General features: G+C 46.4%; 2 protein-coding genes and 1 long non-coding RNA gene across 4 annotated transcripts, besides 4 other annotated features; 1 reads left to right on the top strand and 2 right to left on the bottom strand.

Annotated features, from left to right (window-relative positions):
• Positions 145-194: a silencer, noted in NCBI's record as "silent region_4544". NCBI's record gives its function as "represses an Ori minimal core promoter by ATAC-STARR-seq in GM12878 lymphoblastoid cells {active_cell/tissue: GM12878}" and the evidence as "EXISTENCE:reporter gene assay evidence [ECO:0000049][PMID:35858748]".
• On the bottom strand, positions 168-1,502 carry RPL41 (ribosomal protein L41). 2 transcript variants are annotated; one of them, NM_021104.2, is made up of 4 exons: positions 1,476-1,502; positions 1,336-1,360; positions 924-946; positions 168-653 (listed from the first exon to the last, which is right to left on the bottom strand). In NM_021104.2, the coding sequence occupies exons 2-4, from the start codon at positions 1,345-1,347 to the stop codon at positions 611-613; spliced, it is 78 nt and encodes a 25-aa protein (NP_066927.1). In that variant the 5' UTR covers positions 1,348-1,360; positions 1,476-1,502; the 3' UTR covers positions 168-610. The 2 variants fall into 2 exon arrangements, with proteins under 2 accessions (NP_066927.1, NP_001030344.1); NM_001035267.2 differs by having other exon boundaries at positions 1,336-1,502.
• Positions 1,861-1,910: an enhancer, noted in NCBI's record as "active region_6471". NCBI's record gives its function as "activates an Ori minimal core promoter by ATAC-STARR-seq in GM12878 lymphoblastoid cells {active_cell/tissue: GM12878}" and the evidence as "EXISTENCE:reporter gene assay evidence [ECO:0000049][PMID:35858748]".
• On the bottom strand, positions 4,225-13,576 carry PA2G4 (proliferation-associated 2G4). Its single transcript, NM_006191.3, has 13 exons — positions 13,310-13,576; positions 11,419-11,547; positions 11,040-11,145; positions 10,879-10,948; positions 10,522-10,614; positions 8,842-8,905; positions 8,200-8,278; positions 7,658-7,736; positions 7,443-7,576; positions 7,077-7,171; positions 6,826-6,953; positions 6,606-6,659; positions 4,225-5,312 (listed from the first exon to the last, which is right to left on the bottom strand). The coding sequence occupies exons 1-13, from the start codon at positions 13,395-13,397 to the stop codon at positions 5,247-5,249; spliced, it is 1,185 nt and encodes a 394-aa protein (NP_006182.2). The 5' UTR covers positions 13,398-13,576; the 3' UTR covers positions 4,225-5,246.
• Positions 13,302-13,521: an enhancer, noted in NCBI's record as "active region_6470". NCBI's record gives its function as "activates an Ori minimal core promoter by ATAC-STARR-seq in GM12878 lymphoblastoid cells {active_cell/tissue: GM12878}" and the evidence as "EXISTENCE:reporter gene assay evidence [ECO:0000049][PMID:35858748]".
• Positions 13,532-13,881: an enhancer, noted in NCBI's record as "active region_6469". NCBI's record gives its function as "activates an Ori minimal core promoter by ATAC-STARR-seq in GM12878 lymphoblastoid cells {active_cell/tissue: GM12878}" and the evidence as "EXISTENCE:reporter gene assay evidence [ECO:0000049][PMID:35858748]".
• Positions 13,716-14,321, top strand: LOC105369782 (uncharacterized). Its single transcript, XR_944995.4, has 2 exons — positions 13,716-13,847; positions 14,217-14,321. It is a non-coding gene; the product is annotated as an uncharacterized LOC105369782 (long non-coding RNA).

The following is a 14,430-nucleotide window of genomic DNA, read 5'->3' as shown; positions in this document are numbered from 1 at the left end:
TTGCGTGTCACTATGGCAACCCAACCCAAAGGCACGACATGGTCTAAGCGGTAGTCGCCAAGGCAGCCCTCCTGGAAAGGGGCGGTACCAGCATTGGCCCCTAATAACCCGCGAAACCTAAAACCTGCCTCCAGAGACGTACCATATCCCATCCAACTCCAGCGAGATGCAAACCACACCACGTAACCCGGGCTGTTGCCTTTATAGCTTTGATACCCTCCATAGCACAGGTAGTGACAGGGCAAACTCTAATGACAGAAAACCCCCACCCGATGGAACCATAAAAAACATAATAGACAAGATGATTTAATTCTTCAGCTAAAACAGCGGAAGAGGTGATTTATTATATGGTTGTTACACTCGGCCACAAATAAACACAGAAATAGTCCAGAATGTCACAGGTCCAGGGCAGAGGACCAACATGGGCATTTTGTTTATGAGCAAGGTGGGTCTCAGAGGTGATCGGCGATCAGAGGGCGATGAAGTTCTAGATCCATTGAGACAAGCTCTAGACAGTAGCATGCAGTCCCACAACTTGTACCAGCATCCCCAGCGTCTGGCATTCCATGTTTCTGCTCCTGTGGCCTCCACGGTGCAACAAGCTAGCGGTTTACTTGGACCTCTGCCTCATCTTTCTTCTTTTGCGCTTCAGCCTGAAAAGCAGACACAGGAATGGAATACACCTCAAACCAGAGTTGCCTTTCCCTCCCACATTAAATCAAACGTCCACATAAAGAATGAGGTGGTAAAATGAACAAGCACTACGGTTCTATCGTTCTCTGTTCTGTTAAATCCTGGCTCCAGGGAGAAAACACTCAAACGTTTTTCTCCTAAAGATCTTTTAAGATTTCCAAACCAAATGTTTCTCCTAAGTTTTGTCCAAGGAACTTCCCTCCTCCTGGGCTGGCAAAGTCTCAACGTACCTGCGCATTCGCTTCTTCCTCCACTAGCAACCGATCACAAGCAGCAGATAATTAAAAAAAAAAAAAAAAAAAAGGGATGAAGCTTATTAGTAGGCTTAGCAAGGATATGAAATGCACTCTTTAGAACCGGACAGATTCTTAACCAAGAAGTATGAAAGATTGGTCGTAACAACTACATCAGTAACTTGGACACCCTCCCAACATAAGATCAGAATTCCACCCTTTTCTAAGCCCACCCTCTCTACCCATAGCACTTAACCGCTAGCTCTCTCACAAACTACCTTCTCTCTCCCACCAGCTCTTGGGCACCCTTGAAACCCAGTAGTTCAGGAGGTATGGCGGACTTGCCTTCGTCTCCTCGCTACTACTCGCCAACTCCTACCTCCCAAGCTTACTACCAGGAACCGCTCACCTTGGCTCTCATGGCGCAGAGGTTTCTACAGGGAAAGAGAGAAAGGCTACAGTTAGTTTGCTGTGATGATGCTAAGTGCCGAGGTCAGATGTCTATGGATTGTACACGGAATCCCAACGCAGGAACCAAAAAACACTCACCCAAAAAAATGGCGCTAAGGCCGAGAGAAAGGCGAAGTTCCGTCTACGGCTATTTAATGGAGCGCCGGGTGTCGTCACTTCCGCTTTCACGCCCTTTGCCCCCCCCAAGGGCGGGGCTACCCAATGGGCGTAACAGTGGTTTTCGGACCCTCTTGTAGAAGGGTAGGTTGAGTTAGTTCTTTCGGAAGACCGAGTATTTGGTTTTCGAGTTACCAGTTCCCCCCCAGATTTAGTATGAGGACGCTGTGTTATTTAAACGTCAGCACCTATTTCCAATATTGGACCTAGAGGTGCAGACGGGGAAAAAATAGTGACCGCCACCTTCCCTCGCATTGCTTCTTGGGAGTTGCAGTTCCCTGGAGAAGTCCTCCATTTTGCTATGGATAGGCGCGGACTGTACAGAAATTCTTGTTTTACTGGTTTGCCTTCTTTTCTTTCTTTCTTTCTTTCTTTCTTTCTTTCTTTCTTTCTTTCTTTCTTTCTTTCTTTCTTTTCTTTCTTTCTTTCTTTTTTTCTTTTTTGAGACAGGATCTCACTGTGTCACCCAGGCTGGAGTGCAGTGACGCGATCTCGGCTCACCGCAATTTCCGCCTCCTGAATACAAGCGATTCTCCCGCCTCAGCTTCCCGAGCAGCTGGGACAACAGGCGCGCGCCACTTGGCTAATTTTTGTATTTTTAGTAGAGACGAGGTTTCGCTGTGTTGCCCAGGCTGGTCTCGAACTCCTGAGCTCAAGCGATCCGCCCGCCTCGGCCTCTCAAAGTGCTGGGATTACAAGCATGAACCACCGCGCCCAGCCGGTTTGCCTTATTTTCTAAAATAAATTGCTGCAGGGTGATTCGATTCCGGAACCATCGAAGGTCCTAAGATTTCAGAACATAGGAAGATATAAAGTGGGGATTCGGGAAAGCTGCCATACTTCAAAAAATATTTTCTCACTGTTTAAGATAGAGCAATTATTTTTCCTAAATTTCAAGAATAAAATAGCTGATTATGGTCTTCCCCCACGATGCCCGAAGCAAAATATCACTAGAGATTCCTGGCTACAATGCATCATTTGTTCAGAAAATACGTCAGCGGGCTGGGCACGGTGGCTCATGCCTGTAATCCCAGCGCTTTGGGAGGCTGAGGTGGGGGAATCTCGAGCCCAGGAAGTCGAGGCTGCAGTGACCTATGCAGTGATTCTCTAGGGGTGAAGAGCGAACCAACGGACATAGGGAGAAAATTACCTAAATCTAGGGAAAGTATGACATTTGGTGTTAAGATAAAGAACTTCCCAGTTTGATTGTATGCTCAGGTGAGAAGCACTGGAAAACAACCAGATCCCCTAAGATTTGGCTACAGGAAACTTTTGAGTTAATGGGGGATGAAAAAGAACCCTTTCCCTATAGAGACTTCATCTTACAGTTTTAAAATACTGTAACATTTTGTATGTGATTGTTACAATCCCTCTTTTTTTGTGGTTTCCCTTTATTATATTCCAGGATAGCATTTCACTTTCAATCCCTGAAAAACGTTTTTAAAATTAGGTTCCTTCTAAGTAGTTGTAGTATTGTCACCACCCAAATATATATGACAATTTTTTTGAAACAAAAAAAATCCTAGCAGAATTATTTTGTATCAGTTCCACCAAGATTTCAACTGATGATTGCCAACTAGTTTATAAGCTCTTTGAGGGAAATTTTGTTTGCTTGTTTTTGATACGGAATGGAATCTCACTCCTGTCACCCAGGCTGGAGTGCAGTGGCGCGATCTTGGCTCACTGCAACCTCCGCCTCCTGGGTTCAAGCGATTCTCCTGCCTCAGCCTCCCAAGTAGCTGGGATTACAGGCGCCCGCCACTAAGCCTGGCTTTTTATATTTTTAGTAGAGATGGGGTTTCACCATGTTGGCCAGGCTGGTCTTGATCTCCTGACCTCAGGTGATCTGCCTGCGTCGGCCTCCCAAAGTGCTGGAATTACAGGTATAAGCCACCGCACTTGGCTGTTTTTTTCTTTTTTTAATAGACTTAATTTTTTAGAACAGTTTTAGGTTCACAGCAAAATTGAGAAAGGTATAGACATTTCCCACACATATAGCCTCCCCCTTTATAAACATCACTCCACCCTGCCAGAGTGGTACATTTGTTAACAATAGAACCTACGTTGATATACCATTATCACCCCAAATCCATAGTTTAGTTTACACTAGGGTTCACTCTTGGCATTGGCATTGTACATTCTTTGCCTTTGGACAAATGCGTAAGCAAGGAGAGAGAGATGAACAGGCAAAACACAGAGGATTTTTAGGGCACTAAAACTACTCTATTTTAATGGTAGATATACATCATTACACATTTGACCTGTGTTCAGTTCTGTTCACTTGTAGTATCTCTAGTTTAGCAATTCCTGACATGTAGTAAGATAAACTAATTACCCATCTGACCTTAGTCTGGCCCTGAAAACTAGTGTACCATTCTTCCTGGCTTCTTGAATTCAAGATAAACACTTGCAGTACTGTTTTTGCAGTAGACATTGTGTCCTAGCCCCAAACAAATCTTAGCAGTGAGGACTGTTTCTACTTAGAAAATTACACCACCCAACTCCAGCAGATTACTATATCATCAAAGATTCTAAGATTTGTGTCTTCTGCAAGTCAAGACATTCCTCGTTTTGGGAAGGTAGAGCATGGCACTGTGGAGGAACAGTTCCAATACCACTTCAACTGACATTCTCCCCACCTCCATCAAACAAGAGCAGCATACAAAGCACATCATTATGAGCAAATCCAAATTTATTTTAATGTCATGTCATTTTCAATGTGTTTAAAAACCTCATAAGTTAGTGGGAGCCCTAGTTTCCTGGGACAGCATGCCAGAGGTACTGAAATTTGTCACCTTTCTCTACAAACCCCCAGCAATCCAATCCAAGTCCATAGCTTCAGAAAGCCAGGAGTTGTGTCTTCAGTCAGTCTACGCCTCTGGTTCTTGGTTTTTCTTTCATGGGAGGGAGATCACAATATTTCAAACAGGGAACAAAACCAGTTGAGCTTCCAGCTCAGGTCTGTGTAAGATGGAGCGAGGAAAGACCCCACTGACTCCAGAGAAAAAGGGTAAGGTTGAGATGGATTATTTCTTTACAGCTTTGTGAAAATGGAAGAAAAAAGATTTACAAATGAGGATCCATTTCATAGATGAGAATCTCTTCATAAATGAAGGCTCCAGCTCCTAAAATGGGAGGGGCCTGACTGGACAGCCTGAATCAGATGAGGAATCGGCCACACTGAATAAAAACAATCTGAAAAATAATCCTCTTAATTTTGAAGCCAGATAAAATATTTGGGGAGAATGGAAAAAAGAGGAAAAAGCCCCAAACAGATGGAAAAAATGCTGACATCAGAGTGGTATAAAAAAATTCGGCTGAGTTTTCAGTGGTGGTGGCTAATTTAGCCCTGTTCTGTAGTGGGGCACAAACCTTGACCAAGCAGAGAGTAGTAGAAAAGGCTAGAAAGAGGGGCTTGAAGACGATGAATTTTGACTCCTGATTTTATTATTCAATTTCTTTTTTTCATTTAAAGTAGTCTTCCGTGGTTGGGAAGCCTCACCTCCCAAGACCAGAGTCAGTTGGAGCTGGTTGTTGTTGGAAGGGAGTGGGTTGGGGAACTGGGGTGGGGGCAGGGAGATCCCCCCGCTCTGCTGGCGGTCCTAGGTGGAGAAGAACTGCACTTCACAGAGTCTGGGGTTTGGTGGGAAGGGGATGAGGCAGGAGCAGCAAGCTGGGGAGATGGGACCCACCTCAGTCCCCAGCTTCATTTTCTTCTAATGTTTCCCCACTGGTGGCATTCTCTGCAGTCTTGGAGGCCTATATGCAAGAAAAGGAGAGGGAGAAGACCTGTCAGTTTCTAACTACTTGGGGATGTCTGGGACCAGAGATAAAAGTATTTTTTTTTCTGAGACAGTCTCACTCTGTTTTCCAGGCTGGAGTGCAGTGGTACCACTTCCCTGGGCTCAGGTGATCCTCTCACCTCAGCCTCCCAGGTAGCTGGGACTATAGGCATATGCCACCATGTACAACTTTTTTGTATTTTTTGTAGAGATGAGGTTTCACCATGTTGCCCGGGCTGATCTTGAACTCCTGGGCTCAAGTGATGCTCCTGCCTAGGCCTCCCAAACTGTTGGGATTATATGTGTGAACCACCACACCCAGCCATAAAGTTATCTCAATCCTCTGGGTCACAGCTGAAATAAAGACATACAGGTCTCTGACTTACAATGGTCAACTTGTGATTTTTCAACTTCACAATGGCGTGAAAGCAATATGGATATTTCGATACATGATAATTTGTTCAATAAATGTTTTGAGCACATTCAAGGTAGGCCAGGCTAAGCTATGAGGTTCATGGTAGGTTAAGGTACATCAAATCCATTTTGAGCCAGGCATGGTGGTGGCTACTCAGCAGGTCAAGGCAGGACAATCACTTGAACCCAGGAGGAGTTTGAGGATACAGTGAGCTATGATCATGCCTCTACACGTCAGCCTGGGTGACACAGTGAGATCATCTCTTTTTTGGAGACAGAGTTTCGCTCTTGTTGCGCAGGCCGGAGCGCAATGGTGCGATCTCGGCCCACTGCAACCTCTGCCTCCCAGATTCAAACAATTCTCCTGCCTTAGCCTCCCGAGTAGCTGGGATTATAAGCGTGTGCCACCACACCCAGCTAATTTTGTATTTTTAGTAGAGACGGGGTTTCTCTCTGTGTTGGTCAGGCTGATCTCAAACTCCTGACCTCAGGTGATCCATCCGCCTTAGCCTCCCAAAGTGCTGGGATTACAGGCATGAGCCACTGTGCCCGGCCAAAGCAAGGCTGGGCATGGCAGCTCATGCCTGTAATCCCAACAGTTTGGGAGGCTGAGGTGGAAGGACTGTTCAAGGCCAGGAGTTTGAGACTCTGTCTCTTAAAATATATATATATATATTTTAAAATCCATTTTGACTTACAGTATTTTCAATTTATGATGGGTTTACTGGGACAAAGTTCTATCATATAAGTTGAGGAGCATCTGTATAAAAATCCGTATTTCACTACAACTTAACACAGTGGGAGAAAGAGGGATCAGGTTCACCCTGCCAGAGAGGAATGATCGTTAATAACACACCTTCTTTTTTTTCTTTTTCTGGGTTTTTCGACTTGCAGAACTCTGGAGGAGGGCCTGGAAAACAGGAAGAAGGGAAAAAAATTTTGAGAAATGTGGAGGAAATTAAAAATAAAGGGTTACTTTCAGTACTGCAGCTCTTTTCAGGACTTTGCTGGCATTTAGCCCTCACTCCCAAGCAGGATACCATGTACATACTCACCACCTTCTATTCCATACTAACCTTTAGCTCTGCATCCTGGACCTCCATCTCAGACTTGTAGAGGTCAGGCTCGAAGGGACCACTGGTTATCCGCATGGGGCCATTGGGCATGAGCAGAACTGTAAATTTAAACTGGGCAACAAATTCACCTATGGCAAAAATGAAGATGTGTTTTGATAAAAAGTTCCTTTGTCATACTTAGCTCTTCTGAACTTACAGGAAGGATATCTTATAATCAGGGAATCCAAAGTGAAGCTCTTTTTGGAACTCACCCTCCTTCTCATAGAGAACATTAAATGGTTGCAGCAGTTCATGTTTGGCGCACTCCACCACACCCATCCGAGCCTTCTTCTCATCTTCAAATGCTCTGGCAGGGAAGATGATATTCAGAGGTATCTTTAACTCCCCATCAAGTCTTACCATTTTGCTCATATTTTAAAATAGCTCCTACCCTCAGGCAGAAATCATGCTTAGGATTGCTCTTTTACATTACCTTCAATGAGAAGGAGATGGGGAGAGAGAGGGAGGGAGTGAGCACATGCACGCTACAAGTCTAGGCAGGAAGGGAGAGGAAAAAGTGTTCCTGGGTGTATGGTCTGTGAGTCAGACTGGTTCCAAGTACTATCATTGCTTAGTACCTTAAAGTAAACGGCATGGCATCAAAACGCCTTTCCACCTCACTGAAGAAGGCACGTGAAGTTTTCATTTTCAGTCCATACTGTTTAGAGGGGTCTCGTTTGTAAATAGTGGTTCTCTGTCCTGCATCCTTGGCCTGAAAGAGTAATTTAAGTAACATTTGGTCTGGTGAACACTCTCAGTCACCCCTCTTTGCCAACTCTGGTACTCTCCTCACCTTGCCCTCTCCTGAGCTGACGAGAACATCCACAGCATATACTTCATGTACCTCAAATTCAGCTTTTTCATGGTCCTTCCTAAAAGGAATAGAGAGAAAGGAATTTTTTTTTTTTTTTGACACAGAGTCTCATTCTGTCACCCAGGCTGGAGTGCAGTGGCACAATCTCAGCTCACTGCAACCTCCACCTCCCGGGTCCAAGCAACTCTCCTGCCTCAGCCTCCCAAGTAGCTGGGACTATAGGCACAAACCACCAGGCCTGGCTCATTTTTGTAGTTTTTAGTAGAGACAGGGTTTCGCCATGTTGGTTAGGCTGGTTCTGAACTCGTGACCTCAGGTGATCCACCCGCCTCAGCCTCCCAAAGTGCTGGGATTACAGGCGTGAGCCACCGCGCCCGGCCTAGAGAAAGGGAATATTAAGAGCAACAGGTCACTCCTGAAAACATGGAGTAGAGGGCGGACAAGATTCAGTTGGGAGTATAGAAAAAAACCTGATGACTAGTCTTGTGTGGTAGAAGGTAATAAGTAGGGTTGGCACCTACTTCTGCTGGTCTGTGGGATTCTGGATAATGGTTTTTTCTCCATCGATGACATGCTGCTTCAACTGGTGTGACAGCATACCTGTAGATAGTACACAACCTATGGAACAAGCTATCCAGTATCCCAAAAGGTTTCCAAATCCACCCACTTCAGTAGTTTGAAGTGGTAGGCAGTGAGACAACTACCTGGTTATGGAAACACAGGGCTCTGAGATTTCTGGCTTAGACTGGGTTATAGCCAGGATAGATCTTCAAGGGAGCAAAAGCCTCAATTCTGCAAAGCCACTCATTCTTTTTTTTTTTTTTTTTGAGATGGAGGAGATGGAGTTTCGCTCTTATTGCCCAGACTGGAGTGCAGTGGCGCAATCTTGGCTCACTGCAACCTCCTCCTCCCGGGTTCAAGCGATTATCTCGCCTTAGCCTCCCAAGTAGCTGGGATTACAGGCACCCACCACCACGCCCAGCTAATTTTTATATTTTTAGTAGAGACGGGGTTTCACCATGTTGGCCAGGCTAGTCTCAAACTCCTGACCTCAGGTGATCCGCCCACCTCAGCCTCCCAAAGTTCTGGGATTACAGGCGTGAGCCACCGCACCTGGCAAAGCCACTCATTCTTAGACCCTCAACCCTGTTATCTGTTCTCACCTTCTATTGGCGTGCAGTTAAATGAGTGGGCAACTTTGTTCCAGGCTTCTGTCACTTGTGTGTTCTAGAAGTACAACATCAAATGAAAGGTGAGATATCAGGAGCTAATAAGTTCTCTACAATGAGAATAAGAAGCATAAAAGAACTGAGCGTTTTTTTTTTTTTTTTTGAGATGGAGTCTGGCTTTGTCACCAGGCTGGAGTGCAGTGGCGTGATCTTGGCTCACTGCAATCTCTGCCTCCCGGGTTCAAGCTATTCTCCTGCCTCAGCCTCCTGAGTAGCTGGGATTACAGGCACGCAACACCACGCCCAGCTAATTTTTGTATTTTTAGAAGAGACGGGGTTTCACCATGTTGGCCAGGATGGTCTCGATCTCCTGACCTCGTGATCTGCCCACCTCAGCCTCCCAAAGTGCTGGGATTACAGGCATGAGCCATTGCACCTGGCAGAACTGAGCGTTCTAATATCCTCCATCAAGCCCCAATGATTGTCATTCACTGGTTTTTCATTTCATAGCTTGATTATCCCTACAATCTAAAAATACTTTATACAGATGCTCCCCAACTTGCAATGGGGTTACATCTCCAAAAAACTCATAAGTTGAAAATATCACTAAGTCAAAAATGCATTTAATACCCCTAACCTACCTAACATCACAGCCTAGCCTATGTTAAATGTGCTCAGAGCACTTAAAAAACATTATCCTACAGTTGGGCAGAATTATCTAACACATGCCTATTTTATATTAGTGTTGAATATCTCATGTAATTTACTAAATACTATATGGAAAATGAAAAACAGAATGGTTGTATGGGTACTCAAAGTATAGCTTCTACTGAATGTAGCATCAAGCTGAGGACCAGCTGTAACTGCATATCATTTTACCCAGTGCTTTCACAAAGATGGTCTAACTCAATAAATTTTGCATGTGAACAGGGCAGATGTATATCCCAATCTAGAAGACAAGGAAACTGAGTCTCAGGTTAAATGATTTGCCCCAGGTTAAATGAGTGTTAAGTGAAAGAACTTGGTCATAAACCTGGGTTTTCTTTTTTCTTTTTGTAGACGGGTCTCGCTATGTTTCCCAAGCTGGTCTCAAATGCCTGGGTTCAAGCAATCCTCCCACCTTGGCCTCCCAAAGTGCTGGGATTACAGGCATGTGCCACCACATGCCTATAATATTAAGTCCAGTGTTTATCCTTTTTTACCTGGCATTCTAATCTGTTTTGTGGGGACAGCAAATGCTTATTTTTCCTTTTTCTTTTGTGAGACAGGGTTTCATTGTTGCCCAGGCTGGAGTGCAGTGGCATGATCATAGCTCAGCACAGCCTCAATCTCCCAGGCTCAGGTGATTCTCCCACCTCAGCCTCCCTGGAAGCTGGGAATACAGGCACATGTTACCACGCCCAGCTAATTTTTGTATTTTTTGTAGAAATGGGGTTTCACCATGTTTCCCAGGCTGGTCTTGAACTCCCAGCCTCAAGCTATCCTCCTACCTTGGCCCCCCAAAGTGATGGGATTACAGATGTGAGTCACTGTGCCCAGCTAAATATAGCTAATTTTAAAAAGCTGTTTTATAAGGGGTCTGTAGGGGAGGTTGGTAGTTTCATATAGAGTAGCTATAGGTGCCTAATGCATCTTTGGTTCAAACGAGCTTTGGAATTGGATAAAATAGCTTACCTGATTTCCAGGTTTGACCAGGCGTAGGGCAGCTTCAGCACAAAGGTGAGCTGCCTTAATAACATCTGCTTTCCTCCCTGTTACTTGGGTCCCCTGTAGATAAGGACATGCAATCAGTATCTTCCTGGAAAGTCTGTTAACTCAGCTGGCTATCTGGTTAATATCTGTGAGCCCATATGCGAAGACCAGCCAATGAACAGGAGGGTAAAAACAACAACAACAACAAAAACCTTTCTCCTTTTGCTTCTCTAGAGACTCTCTCAACTTACGTGGTGATTGGGGGTGGGGATAAGAAGCAAATGGCAGTGCATTCCCTCTACCCCAAGGCTAAACAGAGATCAAAAGCAGGCCACCTACCTGAGCTACATCAACCACAAAAGTGTGAGCTACATTAGCGATGAAGCCATCCACATGGACCCCAAGGTCACTGAAAGGCAAGATCAGAGTACTGCATTAGGAACTGGCATTTTGTAAATGCTTTAAAAAAAGAAAAATGCTTTAAAACGGTTTAACCTTACATTTTTACCAAGTCACCTTCCTTGAGAATATAATCCTGGTCGCTCTTCAAAGGGGAGAAGTGACATACACAGTTATTTACCGAAATGCTGGTGGGAAAAGCAATACCTGTAAAGAAAGAATCATCAGCCTACTGCCTTGCTGTCTCCCGGGAGCCCTAGTGCCCTTCAGAAATGTAGAAGGATTTTTTCAGGGTCTTGCTTAAGTTTCATCAGTTTGGATTAGGTAGGAAACTGCTTGTATCCCACTTGCCATTCCAAATTTCCAAATACCTCAGCCAGAGCTGGGGTGGGGACTGCGTCATTACAGTGAAAAAAATAAAAACATATAGGACCAAATAAGGGTCAAACGGAAAATTAGTGAGGGATTTTTTTTTTTTACCTTTCTTCATTTCCTTTTCTTTCTTGAAGATTTTCCCTGTTTCTTCCATAATCATGGCATCACCTTTCTCACACAGGCTCAGTACCGACACACCTGAGCTAGATGCTTCCACCAAGGACCGAAGTACCCCTGAGGACAGAATCCCATCATGTCAGCCTTGTATGTATTCATTGTCTAGTTACCACCCAAGGAATACCTGGAAGTTGAATTTAAGAGTTTCCATAATACTCCCTGGTGCCATTGCCCTGAGGCTGAAAGGTCAACATTCCCTTCTCTTCCTTACATTATGTGACAACTGGGTATATACAATCCATCTCCCTAGGCAAGGCCTCAGACTTTCCAAAGATGCTACCTTTGGTGTGACAGGACAGAGTTATGAACTTCAGAGGGTTCTTGCCATGGTATCCCCACATACACGCAAAGACTAGATGAAATTTATAGGCATCAGGGACAAGAAGGTAGACAGAATTGCTGACTCGAAGCCGATGCACTGTTAAATGTTACCGCATTCCTTTCTCAGACACTCTAATTAGGTGTTAGGAATCTCAATCTATATAGACTTATTTCCTCATAAACAAGTGCATAAGCCAAGGAAACTTAATCTAAGGTCCCTGGGTTTCATTTCGGGGGATCATGGCTTATCTAAAAGAAATATGAGGCCAAAGTTATAAACTGTAAGAGATTTTCTGATTCAAACCACTAGTATCTCAAATACTAAAAGGCACCAAAAACCAGGGTACGATACTAAATGTCCACTGTGATATAAAGCACAGGTTTGACTTTTGGTATCTCAGTTTTGGTGATTCTTTGAAAGCTGGTAAAACTCAGATTTTCACCCACAGGACGGGAGGCATCCTAAATACCTGTTCCCCACCATCTTTGCTGTTAAAACCATTTAAAAGCACAATGACAAGCAGTTTGTATCTCCCTAACTGGAATAAAATGGAAAGGCTAACTGGAAAGAGAGAAAAGAGAAAGTGGCATCTGCCTAGAGTGACAGGCAACTGCTGAGATCGTCAGAGCACACCTGGAGTAAGGATGACTTGTGAAAATCCTAAAATCAGTCCTCCCTTTTCCAGTAATGTTCACAAGCTTGCCTAGTTGGGATAAGACGGAGACCCCAAAACATTTGAGTTGTCAAGTCACTGAGAACAACAAATGTGAATGCTAACTAAGACTATCTGCACAGATTGGAAAGGTGGTAGTAATGAGTAACTTCAAGAAAAGCCATATATATCTCCAAGACTTGCATTAGAAGCTCCAGGAGTGCTCTCCAACGGTCTCCTTAGCTGGCCCAAGGTAGAAGGGGGCCCCCACCAGGGTAAGAGCTGAAGTAAAGAAGGAAAGGCTCCAGCAAAGCACGTGGTGGGGAAGCTGGTGGTGGGGAAGCTGGTGTCAGGGACACTAGCGGAGTAAGAAGGGGGCCAGCCATCCGCAATGGGACCCAGCAACACGTGCCGGCTTGGCTCCTGACGCCCCGGAGACGCTACAAAAACAGAGGGGCACTTCTGTCGCCAATAGCTGGGCGCTTCCTTTTCGAGGTGGCCTCGCCGCTGCCAGAATCAGAGGAAGCAATAATCGGGAATGAAGGATAGGAACAAGAGAAAACACGTCTTGCCTCCTAACAAACGGCCTCGGGTCGGAGCCTGCCAGGGTCCCCTCTCTGCGCTCATCCTGGTCGCCGACCCGCACCTCCATAGACTTCAGCCTGGGCCTGCCCGCTCAGGTCCCAGGCGCGACACCGGGTCTTCCCACCACGCCGTGCCCAGCGGACCGGTGCGGGCCCCTCAGTAGCTCAGTCCGCATGACCCCTCCGCTCCAGCCCCTTCCGGGCCAGCCTGTTACCTTTCCCTATCAGCCTTGATTCCCCGACCCCCGAGGCCGCACTCACTGTTGGCGATGTCGCCCCCCATCTTATACTTGGTCACGACCAGGTCCTCAGCGATAGTTTGCTCCTGTTGCTCGTCCTCGCCCGACATCTTCCTACTACCACCACTGCAGCCTCGTTTCCCCTGAGCCGCCGCCGCCTCTGTCTCCCTTCCCAGCCACAGGCTGTGGTCAGAGTCCCCTCGATCCTCGAGGAGAGGGCGAGCGAAAGCGCGAGCAAGCAAGGGAGCGGGCAGGCAGGCGAGAGCGAGAAGCTGCGAGCGCGCGGGCTGAGGCGCAGGGCACGCTGGGACAACTAGTCCTCTCGGCCGCCAGACTCTAGCCGCTCTCGAGGGCCTTCGAACTACAATTCCCAGCCTGCCTCTCGCGCTCCTAAGCCAGGCCCTGGGGCCTTGCCCTCCAAGGGCCTCGCACGCCGGAATCGCCGGGCACTCTGGGAAGGGTCAGGCTCCGGCGGGAAGGCGGAGCCGTTGGGGAGCTTGAGGGGAAGCGTGGTCTCTCCCGGAAAAACCACTTCCACCGAGAACGCTGAGCGAGAGCCAGTAACAGAGAGGGGCGGGCTGAGGGGAGAGGGGCGGAGCTACGGCGGGGAAATAGGTTTAAAGTCGAGCGGGCAGGGGTGGAGTAGAGTGGAGCCGCAGCGGGTGGGCAGTGTCTACACCTAGGTCGGGGAGGCTGGGTGCGCCCTTCTTCGGATCCCTGGGTCGGCTGGCGAAACCCGCCCAGCCGGTCCAGTCGTCCTCCGAAGCTGGGAGAACAGGGAGGGGCAGACAGGTGGAAGAAGACCAAGGGTGCTGGTAACGGGGGCTAACTGGGCAGCCAGACACCGGAGGGATCATCCATTTAAAGGCCTCGCAATCTAGAGGCCGGACTCCTAATGAAGTAACATGACTTTATTGTTCCAATAACAGGCACCTGGATGGAGCACCTAAGGGAAGTGTTCAGAAAGACATGTTTGTTGAGAGTTCTTACCGTGAAAAAATAAAAAGATTTGATGACTTTTCTAAGATAATGAATTCAGAAGCATCTGGAGGTTTCAGTGTTTGGCCTCTGAAGGAGGGCTTATAGGGCTTTTTATAAGTCCTAAAGCACGTAGGTTCTTTTTGTTATTCCCAATTGGTTGCC

This window comes from Homo sapiens, chromosome 12 (assembly GCF_000001405.40).
Source record: "Homo sapiens chromosome 12, GRCh38.p14 Primary Assembly".
Lineage (NCBI taxonomy): Eukaryota > Metazoa > Chordata > Mammalia > Primates > Hominidae > Homo > Homo sapiens.
Note: the sequence above shows the minus strand (reverse complement) of the source record. Positions and strands in the feature narration are given on the sequence as shown.